Source organism: Homo sapiens, chromosome 15, assembly GCF_000001405.40.
Source record: "Homo sapiens chromosome 15, GRCh38.p14 Primary Assembly".
Taxonomy (NCBI): domain Eukaryota; kingdom Metazoa; phylum Chordata; class Mammalia; order Primates; family Hominidae; genus Homo; species Homo sapiens.
This window is the reverse complement of record NC_000015.10, coordinates 83,162,912-83,186,804: the sequence shown is the minus strand read 5'-3', so window position 1 is coordinate 83,186,804 and position 23,893 is coordinate 83,162,912. Positions and strand designations below refer to the sequence as shown.

The window sequence follows — 23,893 nt, the reverse complement described above, 5'->3', positions numbered from 1 at the left end:
TGCACCATCACCTGAGTATGCATTGTACCCAGCAGGTAGTTTTTCATCCCTCGCCCCCCTCCCACCCTCTTCCCTTCTGAATCTCCAGTGTCCATTATACCACTCTGTATGCCTTTGCGTACTCATAGTTTAGCTCTCACTCATAAGTAAGAACATGTAGTATTTGGTTTTTTATTCTTGAGTTACTTCACTTAAAATAATGGCCTTCGGTTTCATCCAGGTTGCTGTAGAAGATATTATTTCAGAATACAGAAAATTTTGAAATAAATTTACCGGATTACTATTTTGTGCTCTTCATTAACTTCTATTTGAACATCTATGTTCTTTTGCTGTCTTAGCCTTCCATCTTTAACCAGTAGTTTGAGTATAAACTAAATGAGACTTAGAATGGAAATTACAATAGGTTAATATCAAATCCATAAGCAGCTAGTAGTGTTCAGTTGAGCGATAAGTCTAACTGAATATCTGAATCATGAACACACTTGTCTGGTATCTCCTGCTTTGTTCTTGAACTCTTTTTGTAGTTTCTTCAGAGCTACTCCATATTAATTATATTTTGCTGTATAACAAGTTGCTCTAAAATTTAATGGCTTAAAACAATACACATTTAGTCACGATTTCTGTGTTTCTGGAATCCAGGCATGGCCGACCTGGATCCTCTGGCTCTGGGTCTCCCACAAGGGCAGTCATCTTAAGGCTTGTCTAGAGAGTAGATCCATCTTCAAGCTCACTTAAGTAGTTGTTGATGGGATTCAGTTCTTCATGGGTTGTTGGCCTAAGGGCCTCATTTCTTCATGAGATGTTGGCCAGAGCCTGCCTTAGGCTTCTTGCCATGTAGGCTTCATAGAATAACTGACAACATGGCAGCTGGCTTCCTCAGAGCGGACAAGCAAGAGAGCAAGAGTCAGCAATATAGAAGTCATAGTTTTTTGTAACCTAATCTTAGAAGTGGCATCCAATCCCCTTTGCCATGTTCCATTCATTATAAGTAAGTAACTAGATCCAGCACATACTCAAGGACAGGGGATTTTATGTAAGGATATGAATATCAAGAGTGGGGATCACACAAGCCATTTTAGAAACAACCTGCCACCTCCATCACCAGTGTTCCTGGGATTATCTCATCTTCACTTCTCAATACAGGCAAATGCATCTCTCTTGAAGTGGTCACTAAAACTCCCTCTTCCCAGGACATCTCATGGTATATTTTCAGCTTTTTTCTGCTATGATCCTCTCGCCTCCGGGTAGCCTCTTTGACGGGATTTAAGACAACCTCACACAGTCTCTAGCTGATGGTCTGTGGAAAACTTCTTTACCACAAGAAACTCTGAGAGTGCAAGCCAATCCCAGTGCAGTCACCCATTTCACTGTGCCATCAGACCAACTAACCAGAAAGTTCTGTGCTCTTAAGATTTCTTGGGCTTGAGTCAAATACCAGCATTCTATGACTTCTAGGCTCTTGAAGACTTATCTTAAGCTCTCCAAGCAGTCTTCTTAAAGCTTCTAGGCCGGGCACACTTTGGGAGGCTGAGACGGGCAGATTGCCTGAGGTCAGGAGTTCGAGACCAGCCTGGCCAACATGGTGAAACCCTGTCTCTACTAAAAATACAAAAGTTAGCTGGGCGTGGTGGTGGGCGCCAGTAATCCCAGCTACTCGGGAGGCTGAGGCAGGAGAATTGCTTGAACCCGGGAGGCAGAGGTTGCAGTGAGCCGAGATTGTGCCACTGCACTCCAGCCTGGGCTACAGAGTGAGACTCCGTCTCAAAAAATAAAAATTTAAAAAAAGGGTGCTGAGACCCACAGCATACACATAGCTTTTACTAAAAATTATCTCCTAATAACCTCCAACTCTCCTCTTGCCTTCTCCAAAACTGTTTGTTGTTGTACGAGAGTGAAAGTTTACAAGGGTCTTTACCACATTCTTTGCAAGTCTGGTAATGGTTACCCACCTCTTAATGGAAATGTATTATCTGTTGTCTTGGATTTTCCCTTGCAACTGACGCTCGAGTAGTTCCATATTGACATCTCATTTCATCTGCCATTTGCCTTCTTCCTGCTCTTTTTTTGAAGACATCTGCCCTGGGTAGTTTCCTGAAGTTATTGTAGCAATAAAAGTGATTACAGTACTACCTAATATATTAAACCAAACAGTGGAACCTAGTAGAGAAGACGGAGGAAAGATTCATAAAGAATGGGAAAGGGAAAGGAAGAGAGGAAAGCACTAAGTACCTTATTTCAGATTAGAATAGATAAAATATTTTATAACAGTAATTATATTATTAACAGTGATTATATTTTATAAGTTGTTTTGATAGTGTTCTTGAAATATCTAATTATAGAATTAAGAATGAGGTGTCTGAATACCTTATTCATAGAATAAAGATAAACATGAAGAGAGAAAACAAGCATAAAAAGCCAGACATCATAGTACAAGCATAAATGGTTTCCTTTTGGACTGATAAATAAAATCCAACAATATGTTGCTTATAAAACACTGACTTAACACAGATAGCAGAAGGCAAAAATTACCTCCAAATTGGAAAGCCCTATTTATCAGACTTGAATAAAACAAAGAGTTGGCAGTATTTATGTAAGAGAAAACAGAATTCAAGGGTAAAAAAGTTGATATCGCATATCATTTTTGTGTTAACAACTTAAAGCCCTCTGAAATTGACACCAAAAATAAAAGATGTGCCCAAATTGGCACAACTGTTATGAACTGGATTTACATGTATCTGAATTTAGCTTTTTGTACATGATTATCTTTCTTTAAATTTTTTGGTGGGAGAGGCAAGGCTTGGAAGATCTGAGTAAAGCAGTGAATTCTTTTCCCATTAAAATGAAATATATAAAATCTTGCATATAACTAGGGAAATTTTGCTGGAGGAGGGCCAGCTAAGAGTCATTATTGGGGAGATGGCAAAGGTAAGGTTAAAGTTCTGCAAATAAAGGTTCCTAGAAATTTAAACCAGGTTTAGAACTGGAAACCCTTACCAAACTCTCTTTGCAGTGGGAAAAGATACTTTTTTTTTTTTTTTCTTTTTTTTGAGATGGAGTCTCACTCTGTCGCCCAGGCTGGAGTGCATTGGCACAATCTCTGCTTACTGCACTGCAACCTCCGCCTCCGCCTCCTGAGTTCAAGCAATTCTGCCTCAACCTCTGATTACAGGTGCGTGCCACCACAGTCAGCTAATTTTTGTATTTTTAGTGGAGATGAGGTTTCACCATGTTGGCCAGGCTGTTCTCGACTTCCTGACCTCTAGTGATCTGCCTGCCTTGGCCTCCCGAAGTGCAGGGATTACAGGTGTGAGCCACCATGCCCAGCCAAGGTGCTCTTTATATTCAATCAGACAAGGTTCTTGTTGGTTCAGTTTTTTGAGGGCCTGTTAAAGGAGAAGTTGTAGACAGCAGGGCACAATAAATTTAATTGTCCAATTATTTAGCAATAATTTCACTCTACGATTTTTGTTTTTTTGAATGACACTTTTTTCTGGGGCAGGCCTTGTGCATGTATATTATTATTGGTTTCTTTTTGATTTTTATGTCATGGGGGTTTGGTGTACAGATTGTTTTGTCACCCAGGTAATAAACATAGTACCCAATAGCTACTACTGTGGTTTCAATCTGTACAGGGTTTTAAAAATCAACCTCGGCTTGTAATGAAGCACAGTAGTCTCCTGATTTATTGACTAGATAATATCTGTTGACTTTACATTTTAAGAGAAAAGGATATAGCCAATTTGTTAACACTAGTCTCATCCTCTTCTTCCCTCTCTATTTATATCAACGTATTATTTTGAAAATACTCAAATATACACAAAAGTTGAATATCACGGTGAACACCCATACACCCAAGACCTACATTCTATAGTTAGCATTTTGCTAAATTTGTTTTATCACATTTCTGTCCATCTAACAATCTCTGTTCATCCATCAAGCTATCTTATTTTTTATGTATTTTAAAGTGTAAATTGCAGACATTAATTTACTTCATCCCTAAATACTTCAGCATGCATATAACTAACTAGAGTTTAATATTTATTTAAACTTTTGAGGTAAAATTTACATACAGTGAATGCATAGATCTTAAGTGTTAAATTTCATGAGACCTGTATAAAATATTACCATTACCCCAGAAAATTCTCTAATACCCTTCCCAATCTCCAGAGGTAATCATACTCAGATTTTTTTTCACCATAGATTTGCTTTTCCTTTTCTAGAACTTAATATAAGTGGAATCATCCAATACGTACTCTTGTGTAAGTCTTCTTTCATTTAGCATAGTGTTTTAAAGATTCATTCATGTTATTGTATATATTAGTAGTGTTCCCTTGTATGAATATGCCATAGTTGGTTTGGCCACTTTCATTAGGACACCTGGGCTATTTCCAGATTTAGGCTATTAGGAATAAAGTTGCTATGAACAACCTTGTACAAATCTTTGTGTGGACATACCTTTTCATTTATTTTGAGTAAATACATAAAGCATTATAACACTTTAGTTTGTTAAAAGATATCCACAGAAGATACTACTTCATGCCTACTAAAATGACTAAAATTTAAAGTAAATACATAAAGCATTATAACACTTTAGTTTGTTAAAAGATATCCACAGAAGATACTACTTCATGCCTACTAGAATGACTAAAATTTAAAAGACTAGCCATAAAAAGCCATAAAAAGACTATGAGAAAAGGGAAATATCTGGTAGAGAGTACAGGGAAAATGTCTGAGATGACTTAAATGTTCTATACTTGATTTAGGTATTTGTTATATAGGTATATGCATTTATCACATTACCAAATAATGAAATACACATTTAAGATCAATGTATTTTACTGCATTTAAGTTTTACCTCAACAAAAGTAAAAATAAACCCTAAAAGCAAGTGTGTTTTATTTTATGCCTGTTCAAAATAGAATCTATGTGGACAATAGCTTTGAAGACCAAGGAGGATTGTGGAGGAGGAGGGTGCAGCGTTGGGGGAATAAGCCAGATCAGACAACTCAATTTAAAATGTGACTATAAGGGCCAGGCATGGTGGCTCACGCCTGTAATCCCAGTACTTCAGGAGGCTGAGGCGGGCAGATCACTTGGGGTCAGGCGTTCAAGACCAGCCTGGCCAACATAGTGAAACCCTTTCTCTACTAAAAATACAAAAATTAGCCGGGCGTGGTGGCACATGTCTGTAATCCCAGCTACTCGGAAGGCTGAGGCAGGAGAACCACTTGAACCCAGGAGGCGGAGGCTGCAGTGAGCTGAGATCGCACCTCTGCACTTCAGCCTGGGCAACAGAGTGAGACTCCATCTCAAAAAAAAAGTGACTACAAGAATTGAAAAGGATAAACCCTGGAGGTTTAAATGAAGATCATAAATCGAAATGCCTCACTTTTAACTATTCGAGCTGTGTTCTTTCAGTTGTCAGAGACTACGCCTCTCCCCAGGTATACTATGAGGCTGAGTTAATGCCCCACATATATTCTTCCTCCAGAATCAGCAGTGTAACATGCTAATGAGAAACCTCAGTAAATCATCTGGCCCATCCCCTTTATACAGCCTGCATACATCCCCTGTACATCTGCTATATACAACTTAGTTAAAAGCACTAAGTTCTAGGTATATCATGACCTCTCAAAATTATTTATAATTATTTTAAAGATTAAAATGACAATGTTTTTAGGGTTTTATTGGGTGAAAAAATGTCTGTAGCTATAAGATTGTTCTATCACTAGTAGATGGTCGTTTTTATATATTTGAAGATAACTCAGCCTGATATTTCATACATTTTTTCAAACTAGTATTTTGGAAGGTGTTTCCATATCATCATGCTTGCAGTTCTTTTAACAGTGTTCTTTTCAAATATTAAATTGCCGGGCATGGTGATTCACGCCTGTAATCCCAGCACTCTCGGAGGCCAAGGTGGGTGGATCACTTGAGGTCAGGAGTTCGAGACCAGCCTAGCCAACATGGCAAAACCCTGTCTCTACTAAAATTAGCCGGCCATGGTGGTGTGTGCTTGTAGGCCCAGCTACTTGGGAGGTTAAAGCAGGAGAATCGCTTGAACCTGGGAAGTAGAGGTTGCAGTGAGCCGACATCATGCCACTCCATTCCAGCCTGGGCAGCAGAGTGAGACTCCGTCTCAAAAAAAAAAAAAAAAAAAATTGATAAGTTACATGTTTATTAAACCAAACAGACTCTTATTTTTAAAATTCTTTCCCCTTTCTCCTGTATGCATTTCCTTTTTCATACTGTGATTTTCCCTTCTGCCCCTATGGTAAATTTGTTGACTGATTTGCAGACTTCTCTTTATCCAAATCCATTTTTATAACAACATCACATGTTAGGGTTTTTTCCCCTTTTCTAATTTACCACACCTCATAAACTTTTTAATAGCTAAAATGTTTTTTTCTCTACGTTTTTTGTCAGCTAGCCCAAAAAATTCTTCTCATTGGCATGCTCAGAGACAAGTTTGCTTGCCCTTCTTCCATTCTTTTCTTATGCATAGAGACTCCTTTATTCTATAACCTCATAATAATTTTTCTTAGTAATTTGTTATTGAACGTTATTCCACAACTCTCCTTTCTATTCCCCACCACAGCAGGGATTATGGATTCCCTCCATGTGTAAATGTGGGCATCGTCAGATCCGGAGTCAATCAGGACACTTTGGTCTTCCCTATTTTTTTTTTTCCTTTTCCACTATTGAATCCTGAAATAAATTCCTCAGGCTAGGTTTGGCATCTACTGTTTCAGCTGTAGTCTTGGATTTCCACCCACCACCTCCCTCTGCCCCCCGCCACACACATACACACCCCAAGTGACAATCCTTATACTTCACTCCTTACTTTCTCCCTTTCTCTCTTTCCCTTCACACACAACACACACAAAGAGCTGGCCAGGCCCATAGGACTAGACTTATAACATCATGCATTCAAGGGATATTTATTATGCACCTACCATTTTGTCAGGTACTGCTTTAGGCAGTAGTGCTACAGGGATGAACAAGTCTTCCCCTCATGGAGATTACTCTAATGTCAAGAGACAAACATATACTGAATATTAGAGAAATGCTAAAAATAAAAATCCATCAGAATAAGGGAATAGAAAATAATAGGGAAGGAGGTGCTGCTTCAAGTTAGGTTATAAAGGAAGTATCTCTGATGAGATGATATTTAAGCAGAGATTTGATTGGACTAAGGAAGTAGGCCTTGAGCACTTTCGAGAGAAGAGGCTTTGCCTATGGAGAACCTTGGTATCCTTGCCTAGCCCTCTGGTTCTTAGGACTTCTCACCCCCAACTACCATCTGGACTCCTACAATGAACAAAACCACTAAGCTACCACACATACAAGTTTGAGCCATGTGGAATTTCCTTGCCTCTGTTTCCTAATTAGATTATCGTCATGTTGGTACCTATCTGTGTTTTAATCACCTCCTATTTACTCTATTGGTAAAGGAGGGATTCCCACCCTGTGGTTATAGGCATGGCTGAACACACAACACCCAACACTGGACAGATGAGACAGACAGCAGTTTATTAGTTACATATACTCACAGCTCAGGAGAGGAGGGCACTGCACGCTACATGGGCCACATGGAAATTGCACTCCGAAACAGAATGCCCCACCAGGGGCAGTGGGAGGCAGGTTTTGTAGTATCAAGAGGGTAAGGTACCACCTGGTTCCTACAGGAGAATGTGATTGGCTTATTTGAATAATTCTACAGACTGGCAGGAAACTGAAGCCTGCTACTTGGGGATAAGTAGGAACTGTGCCTGTTCTGTTTGATAAGGAGGGTTTTTGGCTAGGGGTCTTTATCTATAGGAGATAAATAAGAGTAGGGAGGAGAACTTGCAGATAGGCTCTCCTGACAAGACAACACTAATATCAAGCTTTAGGTCTTACACCACAGTAGAAGCCTGATCCATTTCGCAGTGAATACTGTGAACTCAGTGACATTGGAAGAGTTATCAGAGAAGAATTAATCACTGATTTAACGTAGGAGCATAGACATCTGAGAATAATAAATAATGAATTAATTGAAACAACAATATAATGTTTTAAATAGACATAGAAAATGGTAACCCAATTTTTCTAAAAGAAACTTAGCTCTATGAGAAGTGAGGAACTTTTTTTTTCTTCTTTATTTTTTGAGACAGGGTCTCACTCTGTCACCCAGGCTGGAATGCAGGCATGGCTTACTGCAGCCTTGACCTCCTGGGCTCAGGCAATCCTCCCACTGAAGCCTCCTGTGTATCTGGGACCACAGGCATGCACCACCACACCTGGCTAATTTTATTGTTGTTGTAGAGATGGGGTCTGCCTGTGTTGCCCGGGGTAGAAGCGAGGAACTTTTGTTTATTTAAAAACAAACTTAAGAGTATGACAAGAGTCAACACAAAGTTCAGGAGGTTATTCTAGTGAAATATATCATCTCTGCTACTTAGATTATTTAGAGGGTGAAGAGTAACTCTTACTATATCTTTTTAAGATCAGACAGAATTCTCCAAGACCAATTCATTATTTTGACACAGAAAACAAAATTCTAGCTTTGTATTAACAAATATTTGACATTAGTAGATTCAGAAACTTTCCCTTTTTAATCTTATGAAGAAATTCATTAAAACTGAGCCAACTTCAGCAATTTTAATATTTCATTGTGTGTTTTCGGACTGTTATTTGCAGTTATTATAGTTCAAAGCAAATACATTTTCCTTTCCACAAACCTTCACAGCTTTCAGTATTCATCCAGGTTTTGTCCTTCATTATCCTCTTGCGCATTTTGAAAGAAACCCAGATACTTGATGAACAAAACTAATCTTTTCCCATTAATAAACAAAAATATATCCATCATCTTGCATATGCAGTTGATTTCTGTACCACTATTGTTTTTAATATTATCTCAATCTTCATGTTAATTATAACAACCAAAGCAACTAGTTTCTGTTTCACAGAGTTAAGTAACTGAGAAATTATGTCATATGAAATTGTTGTAGCAAACCAGTAAAGTTCATGAACGTGCATAATATACATATTATACATCCTTTCTATATCTTCCTAAAGTGCAAAAATAGCCACTACATAACATATAAAAATTAAAAGCAGATACACACACACACACTCAGTGACCAATGTTTTTATATTTCTATCTTAAAAATTCAAATATGCAAAGATTATCCATTGATTAACATGACAATGTTAGTGTAGGGTCTTGAAGCTAACTAGGAATATTAGAAATGATGTTTAATCTAACAAACTACAGAACATAATTGCTGTTGAAATTTTTTAAAAGTGTGTCAATTTGAAGTTTATATTTTGTAATTCAAGTTTATATTTTTCTTAATCATTAAATGGAAGTAATACTAGCTTAACAGTGGACCTTATATAAGAAGTTCAAAAATGTTATTTGCGTCTTTATGAGCAAACAACCCAAATCTTATTTGAAAAATAAAACATTTGCTTATATTACACACTCCATGGCAATTAAATTCAGACAAGGACAAATAGGTGTTTTAAAACCAAAAATTCATCAAACCAGTCTGATTTGTTCAAGGATTCACTTGGATTATTTGAATTTTGATTCTTATATAAAAATGCAAAATGGCTCACGCCTGTAATCCCAGCACTTCGGGAGGCCGAGGCGGATGGATCATTTGAGGTCAGGAGTTCAAGACCAGCCTGGCCAACATGGTGAAATCCTGTCTCTACTAAAAATACAAAAAATTAGCCAGGCATAGTGACACGTGCCTGTAATCCCAGCTACACAGGCGGCTGAGGCAGGAGAATTGCTTGGACCCAGGAGCCGGAGGTTGCAGTGAGCTGAGATTGCACCACTGTACTCGAGCCTGGGTGACAGAGCAAGACTCTGGGGTTTTTAGGATACCACATTTAATATAGTGTAGTTCTCCTTTAATAAAAAATAGGAAATTTGACATTTTGTACTTTTTTTTTTTAAGAATTAGGGAAACCAACTTGCACCAATGCATTTTTGCAATCTCAGTGCAAAAATCCTGCCGAGTTTGAGGAGATGCATGTTAATTACAAGAAATGAAAGCAACCCATCCGCAGGAACCACAGCAAGAGGATGAAATCTCTTAAAATATGCATCAAAATGACCTGGAGGCTCCTAAAAACACTGATTCTTCCCCAAAGTCTATAAGCCTTTGTTTTGGACTGAGAATAAGCATTTCTAATGAGTCCCAGTGACACTAATGGTGAAGGTCCAGGGATGAAACTCTGATAATAAGTTTTCTATGGAAAATGAGGCTGCCTCCCCACGGGCTCCAGTCCATGGGGCTGCAGATTTGCAGGCTGTAAGGGAAGAGCCTAAATTTCTAATCTGTATATCCCCTTAGTATCTCTGCAGTGAGCAAAGCAAGCAAACAACAAAAATGCCACCACATTTTAAGTATTCAAAATTCAGTTTTTTATTTCCTGAAAATTCTTATATTCATTTTATGTTAGATTTCTTAAGTCTTACCGACATCTATAAACCAATTAAAAACAGCTTTTATTTTAAGAGATTTATATCTAATTTGTTAATACCCTTTCCAGAGGTAGGACAATGTTTCAAACTCAAAAAGGGGTAAAGGCTTTCTCAAGTACAGTCACACATTGAGGCTTACCTTCAGGTGTGCAACTTCATATACAAGTGAAAGAAAACACAGGACACACATAGCAATCTAGATCTCAAAGGGCTTTTCTTCCCAGTTGAAGCAAGACGTGTTCCTCTACAAGGCAAAAGACTAGTGTATCAGATTCTTTGCCATGCTGCATCCAACAGAGATTAGGTACCTATCATCCCATTATAGGGAATAAACTTACTGTCTGTGCAGAACCAGAATCACAACCAAACGTGGCTAAGAATCTGTCTCATCTGTCCAGTGTTGGGTGTTGTGTGTTCAGCCATGAATGTTTTAATGTGTGTTTTTTTTTGTTTTTTGTTTTTGAGACGAAGTCTCGCTCTGTCGCCCAGACTGGAGTACAGTGGCTTGATCTCAGGTCACTGAAAGCTCTGCCTCCCGGGTTCACACCATTCTCCTGCCTCAGCCTCCCGAGTAGCTGGGACTACAGGTGCCCGCCACCACACCGGGCTAATTTTTTGTATTTTTTAGTAGAGACAGGGTTTCACCGTGTTAGCCAGGATGGTCTCGATCTCCTGACCTCGTGATCCACCCACCTCGGCCTTCCAAAGCGCTGGGATTACAGGCATGAGCCACCGCGCCCAGCCAGCCATGAAGTTTTGTTGCATCAGAACAAAAGTAAAAATACAAAGTCAGGAAAACAGAAATAGCAGAGAAACAGAAAGTCAATAAAAGTAAAGTTCTGTTGCCACTTGATAATCACTCCAGAAGCTAAGAAAAACTGTGCCTGGGAGGTGTACACTTTAAATGGCTTAGGAAAGTGTAGATACTTGAACATCTTGGTGTATTTCCAAAGTTGTCAAAGTATAATTTTCAAAAAAGTTAAAAACAAGACTCATAAAAATATAAAGTGAGTGCATGTCAAAACATTAAATTCATGAGGGAACCAACGTAATGTTAAGGCTGGCTTCTGTTTTTTACAATATTTGTTCCAGGGGGTACAAACTCAAATACTCAAAGGGGCTAAGCAAGCCATATAAATAAGGAAAGAAGACATTTACAGTGTTAGAGAATGGTAGAGAGTGTGACAAACTTGAGAGCACATTCTTTGTCTAAAGTGGGCAACTATGGTTGACCATCTTCAGCTAATTGTTACCATGTGGGAATGCAAGCTTAGTGTTGCTAGATTTTTTCACTTTCATATTCTTTTCACAGAAGTCATTAAGCTGGATTTTAATCTGAATCTTCTAGTTTTTAGGTGTTTGTAACTAATTCAAATGTTTAAAAACACTGTATGAGCCAAACAGAACATATCTTCAGGCTGTAAATGGCTTGAGGGCCACCAATTTGCAACCTCTGCAGTAGATATTAGTTATATAGCAGAGGAAGAGCTTAACCAAAGGTTGTTTTTGTTTGAAAGAAGTTTCAAAAGATTATTTTAAACCTTTCACTTTGTTTCTCACAAGAGTAAAATAAGTACATTATGTGATAATGTTTTATCAACTAGTAATTCAGTGCCTATCACATAACCATATACATACATTTTAAGTTTTATTTTTGGCCATTTAAAGCATGATCATTTTCTGGAGATCTGTTTCACAGTAATGTGAATATACTTAATACTACTAAACTATACATTTAAAAATGGTTAAGTTGATACATTTTATGTCGTGTTTTTTACTACAATTCATATTATACAGATTCATTTTGAGGTTTTTTTTTTTTTTAGGGTGGTGCTCAATGTAACATATACAAGGTTTTTACAGAAGTTTTATAGTAGGTAATGGGAAATCCTGGGAACAAGGAGACATTGTGAAAAACTGTTACAATAGCCTTGCCAAAAGATAAGAACTTGATTTAGATAACTAAATTTAGTAATGGGAATGGTGCTCACTTTGAGAGACATTTCAGGGGTTAAATTGACAGGATTCAGGGAACAGCTGAATGTGGGGCTCGAGAAAATACTCAGAAGATCAGAGTATGACAATAATTAAAGTAGGAAGAAAAACAGATTCAGAGGAAATTAATTCAATTGTAGACAAACCATGGAATTTCAGGACTTGAAGGAAATCTAGAGGTTACCTAATCCAACCATCTTATTTTACAGATTTGAAACTCAGGGCCCCAAGAGATTGATACCTTCAGTATCACAATTTAAATCAAAAGTAGGCTTACTTTAATAATAAGTTTCTAGACTGAAAGTCCATCTTTTCTTAGTACACCAGAGCATCTTTGCTCTGTGACAGATGGTTCATTCAGTTCAAAGATGACTTTGGGATGGTACTGTAATCCTCAGGCTGTTGCCGTATGTTAGTTAAGAAGGCCTGCAGACTTCTTCAAGAGAATGGATACCAGAGCCTTTTTCTTATTCTTTAAACTATAAGTGTGCCTCCTTTCCTATTTGTAGTCTTTTCTTGGGTTTAAGTTACTTATGGGACCTGTAAAGGAGATGGTTTGTAGATGTTTGTAATTTCATCCCTAGAGTTCAAAGGAAAATTTGAGGCTAGAGGTAGAGATTTGGGAGTCCATAAAAATAATGGCAAAAGTTAAAATCATCTAAGTGAATGGGGTTGCTTGGAAAGAGAACATAATTTCAGAGTAGATGAGATCTGGAAATGAAATCTAGAGAAACATAAAAAATCGCTAGATTAGAAAGAGAAAAACCAGAGAAACATATTGGTAAAAGTAGCTAGAAAATAAGAGAACCAGACAAGAGTACAGATGTTCCTCAACTTACAAGGGATTATGTCCGGATAAACCCATCTTAAGTTGAAAGTATTTTAGGTCAAAAATGCTTTTAATACACCTAAGCTACCAAACTTCATAGCTTAGCCTAGCCTGCCTTAAATGTGCTGAGAACACTTACATTAGCCTATAGCTGGACAAAGTCGTCTAACACAAAGCCTATTTTATAATAGTATTGAGTATCTCACGTAATCTATTGAATAATTCTGTGCTGAAAGCAAGAAATAGAATGGTTGTAAGGGTATTTGAAGTATGGTTTCTACTAAATGTGTATGAATTTAGCAACATTATAAAGTTGAAAAATTTTAAGTCAAACCATTATAAGTCAGAAACCATCTGTAGTACTGTGGAAACCAAGAGAAAAGAAGGTTGTCAAGAATGATAAGGTTTGTTTTAGGCTGTTTTGTTTTGCTACGACAAAATACATGAAACAATACAGTTGACTCTTGAACAACACAGGATTGAAGTTTGTGGGTCCACTTCTACGTGAATTTTCTTCCACCTCTGCCAATCCTGAGACAGCAAGACAACCCCTTCTTTTACTCCTCCTCCTCAGTCTACTCATTGTGAAGACTACCAAGATGAATACCTTTATGATGATCCACTCCCGCTTGATGAATAGTAAATACAGTTTCTTTTCCTTTTTTTTTTTTTTTTGAGCTGGAGTCTATTGCTCTGTCACCCAGGCTGGAGTGCAGTGGCGCGATCTCAGCTCACTGCAGCCTCCGCCTCCTGGATTCAAGCGATTCTTCTGCCTCAGCCTTCTCAGTAGCTTGGATTACAGGCATGAGGTTTTGTATTTTTAGTAGAGACGGAGTTTCACCATGTTGGCCAGGCTGGTGTTGAACTCCTGACCTCAGGTGATCCACCCACCTTGGCCTCCCAAAGTGTTGGGATTACAGGCGTGAGCCACCACACCTGGGCTGATTTTCTTAGTAACATTTACTCTCTAGCTTACTTTACTGTAATAATATATAATACATATATAAAATATTTGTTAATCTACTGTTTGTTATTGGTAAGGCTTCATAGGCTATTAGTAATTAAGTTTTGGGGGAGTCAAAAGGTATATATGGATTTTCAACTGTGCAGGAGGTGAGTGCCCCAATCCCTGTTGTTCAAGGATGAATTGTGAAATTTATTTCTTCACAGTGCTGGAGGCTAAGTCCAAGAGGAAGGCACTGGCATCTTATGAGGGCATTCTTGGTGTATCGTTACATGGCCAAAGACAGAAGGGCAAGAGAGAACCAACTTCTTTCTGTCTCTGTCCAGCCCCCTTTATTTATAAGCATCGAAATTCATTCATGACAGAGAAGCCCTCAAGGCCTAATCACCTCTGAAAAGTCCCACCTCTTAATACTATTACATTAACAGCACCTGAATTTTGGAGGGGAGCCCTTCAAGCCATAGCAGAGCCATAGAGAGGGCAAGAGGATATAGACTGGGAAGGGGAATGTTACTGGTGGCCTTTGAGATAATTACTTTAGTATTTTGTTGATAAATTTAAATTGCCATGGATGAGGAGAAAAGGGGAGATAAAAAGAGGAAACCACCATGTTCATACAGTGTTCTTTTTTTCTTTTAATTTTATTTTCAACTTTTATTTTAGATTCAGGAAAACGTGCAGGTTTGTTATCTTAGTGTATTGTGTGATGCTGAGGTATTAGGTATGAATGATCCCATTACCCAGGTATCCAATGGTTAGGTTTTCATCCCTTGTCCCCCTCCCTCCCATCCCCTTTTGGAGTCCACAGTGTCTACTGTTCTCATCTTTGCATTCATGCATACTCATTACTTAGCTCCCACTTACAAGTAAGAACATGCGGTATTTTGTTTTTCGTTCCTGCATTAATTTGCTTAAGATAATGGCCTCCAGCTGCATCCATGTTGCTGCAGAGGACATGATTTTGTTCTTTTGTATGACTATGTAGTATTCCTTGGTGTATATGTACCACATTTTATTTATTCCACCACTGATAGGCACCTAGGTTGATTCCACATCTTTGCTATTATAAATAGTGCTGCAGTGAACATGAGGGAGCAGGTATCTTTTTGGTAGAACAATTTGTTTTCTTTTGGATATATACACAGTAATGGGATTGCTGGGTCAAATGGTAGTTCTATTCATAAGTTCTTTGAGAAATCTCCAAACTGCTTTCCACAGTGGCTGAACTAATTTACAGTCCCACTAACAGTGTGTGAACATTGTTTTTTCCACAACCTCATGAAACATCCATTGTTTTTTAATTTTTTAATAGTAGCCATTATGAGGTGGGGGGAGGGGGGAGGGATAGCAGTAGGAGATAGACCTAATGTAAATGACAAGTTAATGGGCACAGCACACCAACATGGCACATGTATACATATGTAACAAACCTGCACGTTGTGCACATGTACCCTAGAACTTAAAGTATAATAAAAAGAAAATAGTAGCCATTATGACTGGTGTGAGATAGTATCTCATTGTGGTTTTGATTTGCATTTCTCTGATGATTAATGACAAGTTTTTTCGTGTTTCTTGGCTTGTATGTCTTCTTTTGAGAAGTGTTTCTTCATATATTTTGCCCATTTTTTAATGAGATTATTTGTTTTTTTTTTTTTTTGCTTGTTGAATTCTTTAAATTCCTTATAGATTCTGGATATTACACCTTTGTTGGATGCATAGTTTGCAGATATATTCTCCCATTCAATGTAGGTTGTCAGTTTGCTCTGTTGATAGTTTCTTTTGCTGTGCAGAAGCTCTTTAGTTTAATTAGGTTCACTGGTCAGTTTTTGTTTGTGCTGCAAATGCTTTTAAGGACTTAGTCATAAATTCTTTCCCAAGGCCTGTGTCCAAAATGGTGTTTCTTAGGTTTCCTTCTACGATTCTTATAGTTTGAGGTCTTACATTTAGAACTTTAATTCGTCTTGAGTTAGGTTTTCTTATGTGGTGAAAGTTACAGGTCCAGTTTCATTCTTCTGCATTTGGGTAGCCAGCTATCCCAGCACCATGTATCAAATAGGGAGTTCTTTCTCCATTGCTTATTTTTGTCCACTTTGTCAAAGATCAGATGGCTGTAGGTATATGGCTTTATTTCTGGGTTCTCTTTTCTATTCTATTGGTCTATGTGTCTGTTTTTGTACCAGTACCATGCTGTTTTGGTTAATGTGGCCTTACAGTATAGTTTGAAGTCAGGTAATGTGATGCCCGTGGCTTTGTTCTTTTTGCTTAGGATTGCTTTGGTTATTCAGGTTCCTTTTTGGTTCCATATGAATTTTAGAGTAGTTTTTTCTAGTTCTGTGAAAAATGATCTTGGTAGTTTGATAGGAACAGCATTGAATCTTTAGTGCTTTGGGTAGTCTGGACATTTGAACAATACTGATTATTCCAGTGCAGGAACATGGAATGTTTTCCCATTTGTTTGTGTCATCGGTGATTTCTTTTAGCAGTGTTTGTAGTTCTCCTTGTAGAGATCTTTCACCTCCTTGGTTAGATGTATTCCTAGGTGTTTTATTTTTTGTGCGGCTATTGTAAACTGGATTGCATTCTTGATTTGGCTCTCAGCTTGGATGTTATTGGTATATAGAAGTGCTACTGATTTTTGTACATTGATTTTGTATCCAGAAACTTTACTGAAGTCATTTGTCAGTTACCAGGAGCCTTTTGACAAAGTCTTTAGGGATTTTTGTTTGTTTGTTTTGAGATGGACTCTTGCTCTGTCACCCAGGCTGGAGTACAGTGATGCAATCTCGGCTTACTGCAACCTTGCCTCCTGGGTTCAAGTGATTCTCGTGTCTCAGCCTCCCAAGTAGCTGGGATTACAGGCACGAGCCACCACTCCCAGCTAATTTTGGTATTTTTAGTAGAGACGGGGTTTAGCATGTTGGCCAGACTGGTCTCGAACTCCTGACCTCAAGTTACCCTCCCGCCTCGGCCTCCCAAAGTGCTGGGATTACAGGCGTGAGCCACCGTGCCTGGCCTAGGGTTTTTAAGATACAGACTCTATCATCAGCGAAGAGAGATAATTTTGACTTCTTCTTTTCTTTTCTTTCTTTTTTTTTTTTTTTTTTTTTTTTTTTTTTTTTGAGACGGAGTCTCGCTCTGTCGCCCAGGCTGGAGTGCAGTGGCGCGATCTCGGCTCACTGCAAGCTCCGCCTCCCGGGTTCACGCCATTCTCCTGCGACTTCTTTTCTTATTTGCCTTATTTCTTGAAATTCTTTCTCTTGCCTGATTGTTCTGACTGGCATTCCAGTACTATGTTGAATAGGAGTGGTGAAGGTAGACATCCTTGTCTTGTTTCAATTCTCGAGGGGCATGCTTCCAGTTTTTGCCTGTTTGGTATGATATTGGCTGTGGGTTTATCATATATGGCTCTTATTTTGAGATATGTTCCTTCAATACCTAGTTTCTTGAGGGTTTTGATCATGAAGGGATTTTATCAAAAGCTCTTTCTGAGTCTTTTGAGTTGATCATGTGGCTTTTGTTTTTAATTCTGTTTATGTGGTGAATCACATTTATTGATTTTTATATGTTGAACCAACTTTGCGTCCTAGAAATGAAACCTGCTTGATCATGGTGAATTAACTTTTTGATGTGCTGTTGAATTCAGTTTGCTAGTATTTTGTTGAGGATTTTGCATCTGCTTTCATCAGGGATATTGGCCTGTAGTTTTTTCCTTTTGTTGTGTCTTTGCCAGGTTTTGGTATTAGGATGATGCTGGCTTTGTACAATGAGTGGAAGAGGCATCCCTCCTCAATTTCTGTGATAGTTTCAATAGAATTGGTACAGTTCTTCTTTGTACCTCTGGTAGAATTTGGCTGTGAATCCATCTAGGCTGAGACTTTTTTGGGGTAGGTTTTTATTACTGATTCAACCTAAGGATTCAATATTGGTCTGTTCCGTGTTTCAATTTCTTCCTGATTGAATCTTTCCAGGAATGTACGTGTTTCTTCTAGATTTTCTTGTTTGTGTGCATAGAGGTGTTCATAATAGTCTGAGGATCTTTTGCATTTCTGTGGAATTGGTTATAATGTCACCTTAGTCACTTCCGATTGTGCTTATTTGGATCTTCTCTTTTCTTTGTTAATTTTATTAACGATCTATGGATCTTGTTTATCCTTTCAAAGAACCAGCTTTTGGTTTCATTGATCCTTGCATGGATTTTTGGGTCCAATTTCGTTCAATTCCACTCTGATTTTGGTATTTCTTTTCTTCTTTCAGCTTTGGGGTTAGTTTGTTCTTGTTTTTCTAGTTCCTCCGGGGAAGATGTTAGATCATTATTTTGAGATCTTTCTAGTATTTTAAGGTTGGTGTTTAGCACTGTGAACTTTCCTCTTAACACTGCTTTTGCTGTATCCCTGAGATTTTGGTATGTTACATCTCTGTTTTTATTTATTTCAAAGAATTATTTTATTTCTGCCTTGATTTCATTGTTTACCTAAAAGTCATTCAGGAGCAATTTGTTTAATTTCCATGTAATTTGTGATTTTGAGAGATCTTCTTGGTATTGATTTCTGTTTTTATTCCACTGTGGCCTGAGAGTATAGTTGATATGATTTTTTGTCTTTTATTTTTTAGTTTATTGAGACTTGCTTTATGGCCAAGCATGTGGTCTATCTTGGAGTATGTTCTGTGTGCAGATGAGAAGGATGAATATTCTGTGGTTGTCTATTAGGTCCAAGTGTTGAGTTTAAATCCAGAATTTCTTTGTTAGTTTTCTACCTTGATGATCTATCTAATGCTGTCATGCTGTCAGTGGGATGTTGAAGTTTCCCACTATTATTGTGTGGCTGTCTTTTCATTGGTCTGGAAGTACTTATTTTACGAATCTGGGTGCTCCAATGTTGGGCATGTACATATTTCGAATGGTTAAACCTTCTTGTTGAGTTGAATTCTTCATGATGTACTGCCCTTCTTTGTACTTTTTTTTTTTTTTTTCTTGAGATGGAGTCTCACTTTGCCACCCAGGCCTGGAGGTGCAGTGGTGCAGTCTTGGCTGACTGCAATCTCCGCCTCCTGGGCTCAAGCAATTCTCCTGCCTCAGCCTTCCAGGTAGCTGGGATTACAGGCATCCGCCACCACGCCCAGCTAATTTTTTTGGATTTTTAGTAGAGACAGGGTTTCACCATCTTGGCCAGGCTGGCTTCGATCTCCTGACCTCGGGTGATCCCCCTGCCTCGGCTTCCCAAAGTGTTGAGATTACAGGGGTGAGCCACCACGCTCAGCCTTCTTTGTCCTTTTTTTACTGTTGTTGACGTAAAGTCTGTTTTATCTAAGTACAGCAACTCCTGCTCTTTTATGTTTTCCATTCACATGGTAGATCTTTTTCCAAACCTTTAGTTCGAGCTTATGGGTGTCGTTACATCTAAGATGGGTCTCTGGAAGACAGGTGACAGATAAGTCTTGTTTTCTTATCCAAGCTGCCACTCTGTGCCTTTTAAGTGGGTCATTTAGACCATTTACATTCAATGTTGCTATTGATATGCAAGGTTTTGATTCTGTCATGAAGTTGTTGGTTGCTGATATGGTTTGATTTGTGTCCCTGCCCATATGTTGATTTGTCTCATGTCAAATTATAATCCCAGTGTTGGAGGAGGAGCCTGGTGGGAGGTGATTGGATCATGGGGTTAGATTTCCTCTTTGCTGTTCTTGTGATAGTGAGTGAGTTTTCATGAGATCTTCTTTAAAAGTGTGTAGCACCTTCCCCCTTTTCTCTCTTCCTCCTGCTCTGGACATGTAAGATGTGCCTCCTTCCTCTTCACCTTCCACCATGATTGTAAGTTTCCTGAGGCATTGTAAGTTTCCTGAGGTCCCCTGAAGCCATGCTTGCTGTACAGCCTGCAGAACCATGAGCCAGTTAAACCTCTGTTCTTTATAAATTACCCTGTCTCGGGTTCTTCTTTATAGCAATGTAGGAACAGACTAATACAGTTGTTTTGTACTTTCTATTGTGTGGTTACTTTATAGGGTCTGCAGGCTCTGTACCCAAGTGTGTTTTTTTGATAACAGGTATTATTCTTTTGTTTCCGTATTTAGAACTTCCTTAAGGATCTCTTCTAAGGCTGGTCTAGTAGTAACGAATTCCTTTAGCACTTGCTTGTCTGGAAAATATTTTATTTCTCCTTTATTTCTGCTCATGAAATTTAGTTTGGCAGGATATGAAATTTTTGTTTGGAATTTATTTTCTTTTTAGAATGCTGGAAATAGGCCACCAGTCTCTCCTGGCTTGTAAGGTTTCTGCTGAGACATCTGCTGTTAGCCTGCTGGGATTCCCTTTTTACATAATCTGCCCTTTTTCTCTAGCTGCCTTCAATATTTTTTTCTTTAGAGTTGATGTTGGACAGTCTAGTGACTATATGCCTTGGTGATGTTCATTTTGTATAGTATTTTACCAGTATTCTCTGGATTTCTTGCATCTGGATGTCTATTTCTTTACTAAGATTTGGGAAATTTTCTTGAATTATTTCCTCAAATATATTTTCCTGGTTGTTTCCTTTTTCTTCTTCTCTCTTAGAAATGTCAGTAATTCTTTGTTTTGGTCATTTTATATAATTCTGTATTTCTCAAAGACTGTTCATTTTTTATAATTCTTTTTCCTTTATTTTTGTCTGCCTGGACTAGTTCAAAAGACCGGTCTTCAAGCTCTGGAATTCTTCCATCTGCTTGGTCAGTCTATTTCTTTTTTTTTTTTTTTTTTTTTTTTTTTGAGATGGATTCTTGCTCTGTCATCCAGGCTGGAGTGCAGTGGCACAATCTCGGCTCACTGTAAGCTCCGCCTCCCAGGTTCACACCATTCTCCTGCCTCAGCCTCCTGAGTAGCTGGGACTACAGGTGCCCATCACCATGTCTGGCTACTTTTTTGCATTTTTAGTAAAAGAAGTGATTTTTAAAATGTGTCTGCACACAGCCATGTCATGTGGCTTTACAGGGCAGACAGGAACAATGGGGGAAATTCAGAGAAGTCAGTTGATAAGAGGTGGGTAGTGGAGGGTTTTGTAAGCCACATGGGGAGAGCTGCTCTTTCTCTAGGGGCTCTGATAGCTAATAATAACAGTTAACAACTACCTGGCATTTATTAAGCAACTGGTATGTGCTAGAGATTCTAAACTACCATTCATTTGCTCACAGCAACTCTGTATGCTGAGTGTCTGTAGTTATATGTGAAGAGATAAAGAAACTGCAGTTGAGTGACTGGCCCAAGATCACACAGCCAATAAGTGACAGAGTTGTACCCAAGACTTGTACATAGATCTTGCTTTGAGAGAGTGACATACAGAGGTGGATTTACAATGAAGCTAATGAAACGTAAATTTCAGGGTTCCCCACTTGCTAGACACCTGTGAATGCTGGGAGTTGTCATGTTTGAGGTAGAGAGGGGAAGCTGGCGTATAACCAGAAAGCATTTCTATGTAAGCATTTCTGGGAACTTGCCTGATGCCGTCTCAGAAGAAAAGTTCTGGCAGTTTTGTTGTGGTTTATTTTCTTCTTGTAAATACTCACTTTTGTAATTGAACATTGTATGTCTGAAAGATGAGAAGTTCAACCATCAGAGAAGGCTACATGAAATAAAATAGCATGCTTATAAACAACTCCATGCAGTTTCACACTGCCGAATCATGGCATGAGGAGAGAAAAGTGACAGGAGTTTAGACTGGTCAAAACCTTTCTTGAAACATTCTAAGGAATAATGTATGTGTAATTATATAGTATTCTAAGGAATTTTGACTTTATCCTATTAGAGATTCTCAACTTCAGCTATAAATAAGAATTGGTAGATCTGAGGAAGGAAGGGCTGAAATATCTTTATTTTTTTAAAGCTCCATAAGTGAGTCAGATGTACAGCTAGGAATGCTGTAAGCAATGAGAAGCTATAGACAGATTTGAAGTAAGGAAGTGACATAATCAGATGTGCATTTTCAAAGGGAATTCTACTTTAAATGGATGGGAGGAGAGACTTGTAGTAGTCCAGGCAAGAGATGATGTCTTTTAATGACTGCATAATAGTTCATCAAGTTAAGTTTTTATAATTCTGTTATGCATTATTTATGTTTCTAGGGATGTATATGTATTCACTGTTACTCAAAAGAAGTACATCTTTTTGTATTCTTTTTTTTTTTTTTTTTTTTTTTTTTTGGTTACTCTAATTTTTCACTAGGACAGATTCCCCGGAATAATTCTGTTGAGTCAAAGGAAATGAGTAGTTTTGGCTCCTGCTTATAAATTATTATAATGGTTGTAATCCATTCCTAGAGTTGACTTCCATGTGGTGGGCCAAATAGGAACTTTAGAATCATTTTGTAAAGTTCTAAAAAACTATCTGAGTTTTGATTGATTTTATTTTGAAATTAGCAGTAAATTATCAGAACAATGCTCACATTGTATTTATGATAACCACTCACTCAGTAACTAAATGTATCTTTCATAGATTGATGAACTCCCAGAGGGCGCTGTGAAGCCTCCAGCAAACAAGTATCCTATCTTCTTTTTTGGCACCCATGAAACGTAAGTTAGCAAAAATAGTTTCAACAGCTCTAGCTTGACTCTGCTATGCTACATTGTTATGGATGATCTCTGACATCTTACGTCTTATTAAAATCATTATAATCAGTTATATAAAATTGCCAAAGTTAATAATGTATTTTTGTTAATGTAAATAGTTTTCATGATAGAAGTCTTTATGACTAAAAGCGTATCTTTGCTTTTGAATGTCATTTGTGTTTCTGCTTAAATGTTGGTCATCACCCACAAGTCTCCTCTAGGACACTTTTAAGTCCTAGAGTGGTTTCTGTACCACTCCCAGTAATTTCTTCTATTGCTCTTATATATTTCCCTTCCAGAGAAGTTTTTTCCATTCATATTTCACAGAACAAAGTTATGTTCTCTCTGGCTCTTTCACCTTGTTGGGCCCTCAAGGAAATATACCACCTTTTTTAGGTTTTCTAACTGTATTTGTTGGTGTACTGACTACACTGATGTAATAAAGGAACCTAAAAATACAATGTCTCAAATAATATAGAAGTTTATTTCTTTCTTTTGAAATAATTCAGAGGTAGGCAGGTAGATTGGGGTGGGTAGACTACTTTGCCCTAGGGACCGGAGCTGCTTCTGTTTCTTGTCCTGTCATTAACCGCTAAAACAAAAAAACTGGCTCAGCAGCACATGTGCATCTTGCAGGCAGTGGGAAGGAGGAAAGAGAAGAGGTGAAGAACAAGTAGTTCCTTGTAAGGAAATGACAGGAAGTTACATACAGTAGATCTTCACTTAAGTTGATAGGTTCCTGGCAACTGCGACTTTAAAGGAAACATCAGACAGCAGGCTGTCAACTAACTTCTTTTTGTTCAGTGTTGTCACAGTTTCCAAAAACCTATCGACATTAAGTGTGGACTTACTGTACATCATTTACACTGGCATTCATTCCAGTGACAAGAACTTGGTGATGTGGCCACATCTAGCTACAAGGGAAGCTGAGAAACAGTCTCTAGCTGGGCAACTCTGTATCCTGCTTTAAAAATTGGAAGGAATATTCAGTATAGGAAAAAAGAAGAGCATGAATACTGTGGAATAGTTGGCAATCTTTGACACACTAGGA

The 23,893-nt window shown here is 38.1% G+C and overlaps 1 protein-coding gene across 3 annotated transcripts in view, besides 1 other annotated feature; it reads left to right on the top strand.

Moving 5' to 3' along the window:
• HDGFL3 (HDGF like 3) overlaps positions 1-23,893 on the top strand; it is a 95,086-nt gene that overhangs the window by 21,019 nt on the left and 50,174 nt on the right. For all 3 annotated transcript variants that reach the window (XR_001751298.3, XM_006720554.5, NM_016073.4), the window contains exon 2: positions 22,730-22,806. Coding sequence is in view for 2 of the 3 variants with exons in the window: in XM_006720554.5 (XP_006720617.1) it covers positions 22,730-22,806 (77 nt within the window). In the remaining variant the exon portion in view is untranslated. The remainder of the gene's footprint in view (positions 1-22,729; positions 22,807-23,893) is intronic.
• Positions 19,480-19,981: an enhancer, noted in NCBI's record as "NANOG hESC enhancer chr15:83835576-83836077 (GRCh37/hg19 assembly coordinates)". NCBI's record gives its function as "activates a minimal SCP1, AML or CMV promoter by ChIP-STARR-seq in naive and primed H9 embryonic stem cells {active_cell/tissue: H9 hESC(naive and primed)}" and the evidence as "EXISTENCE:reporter gene assay evidence [ECO:0000049][PMID:30033119]".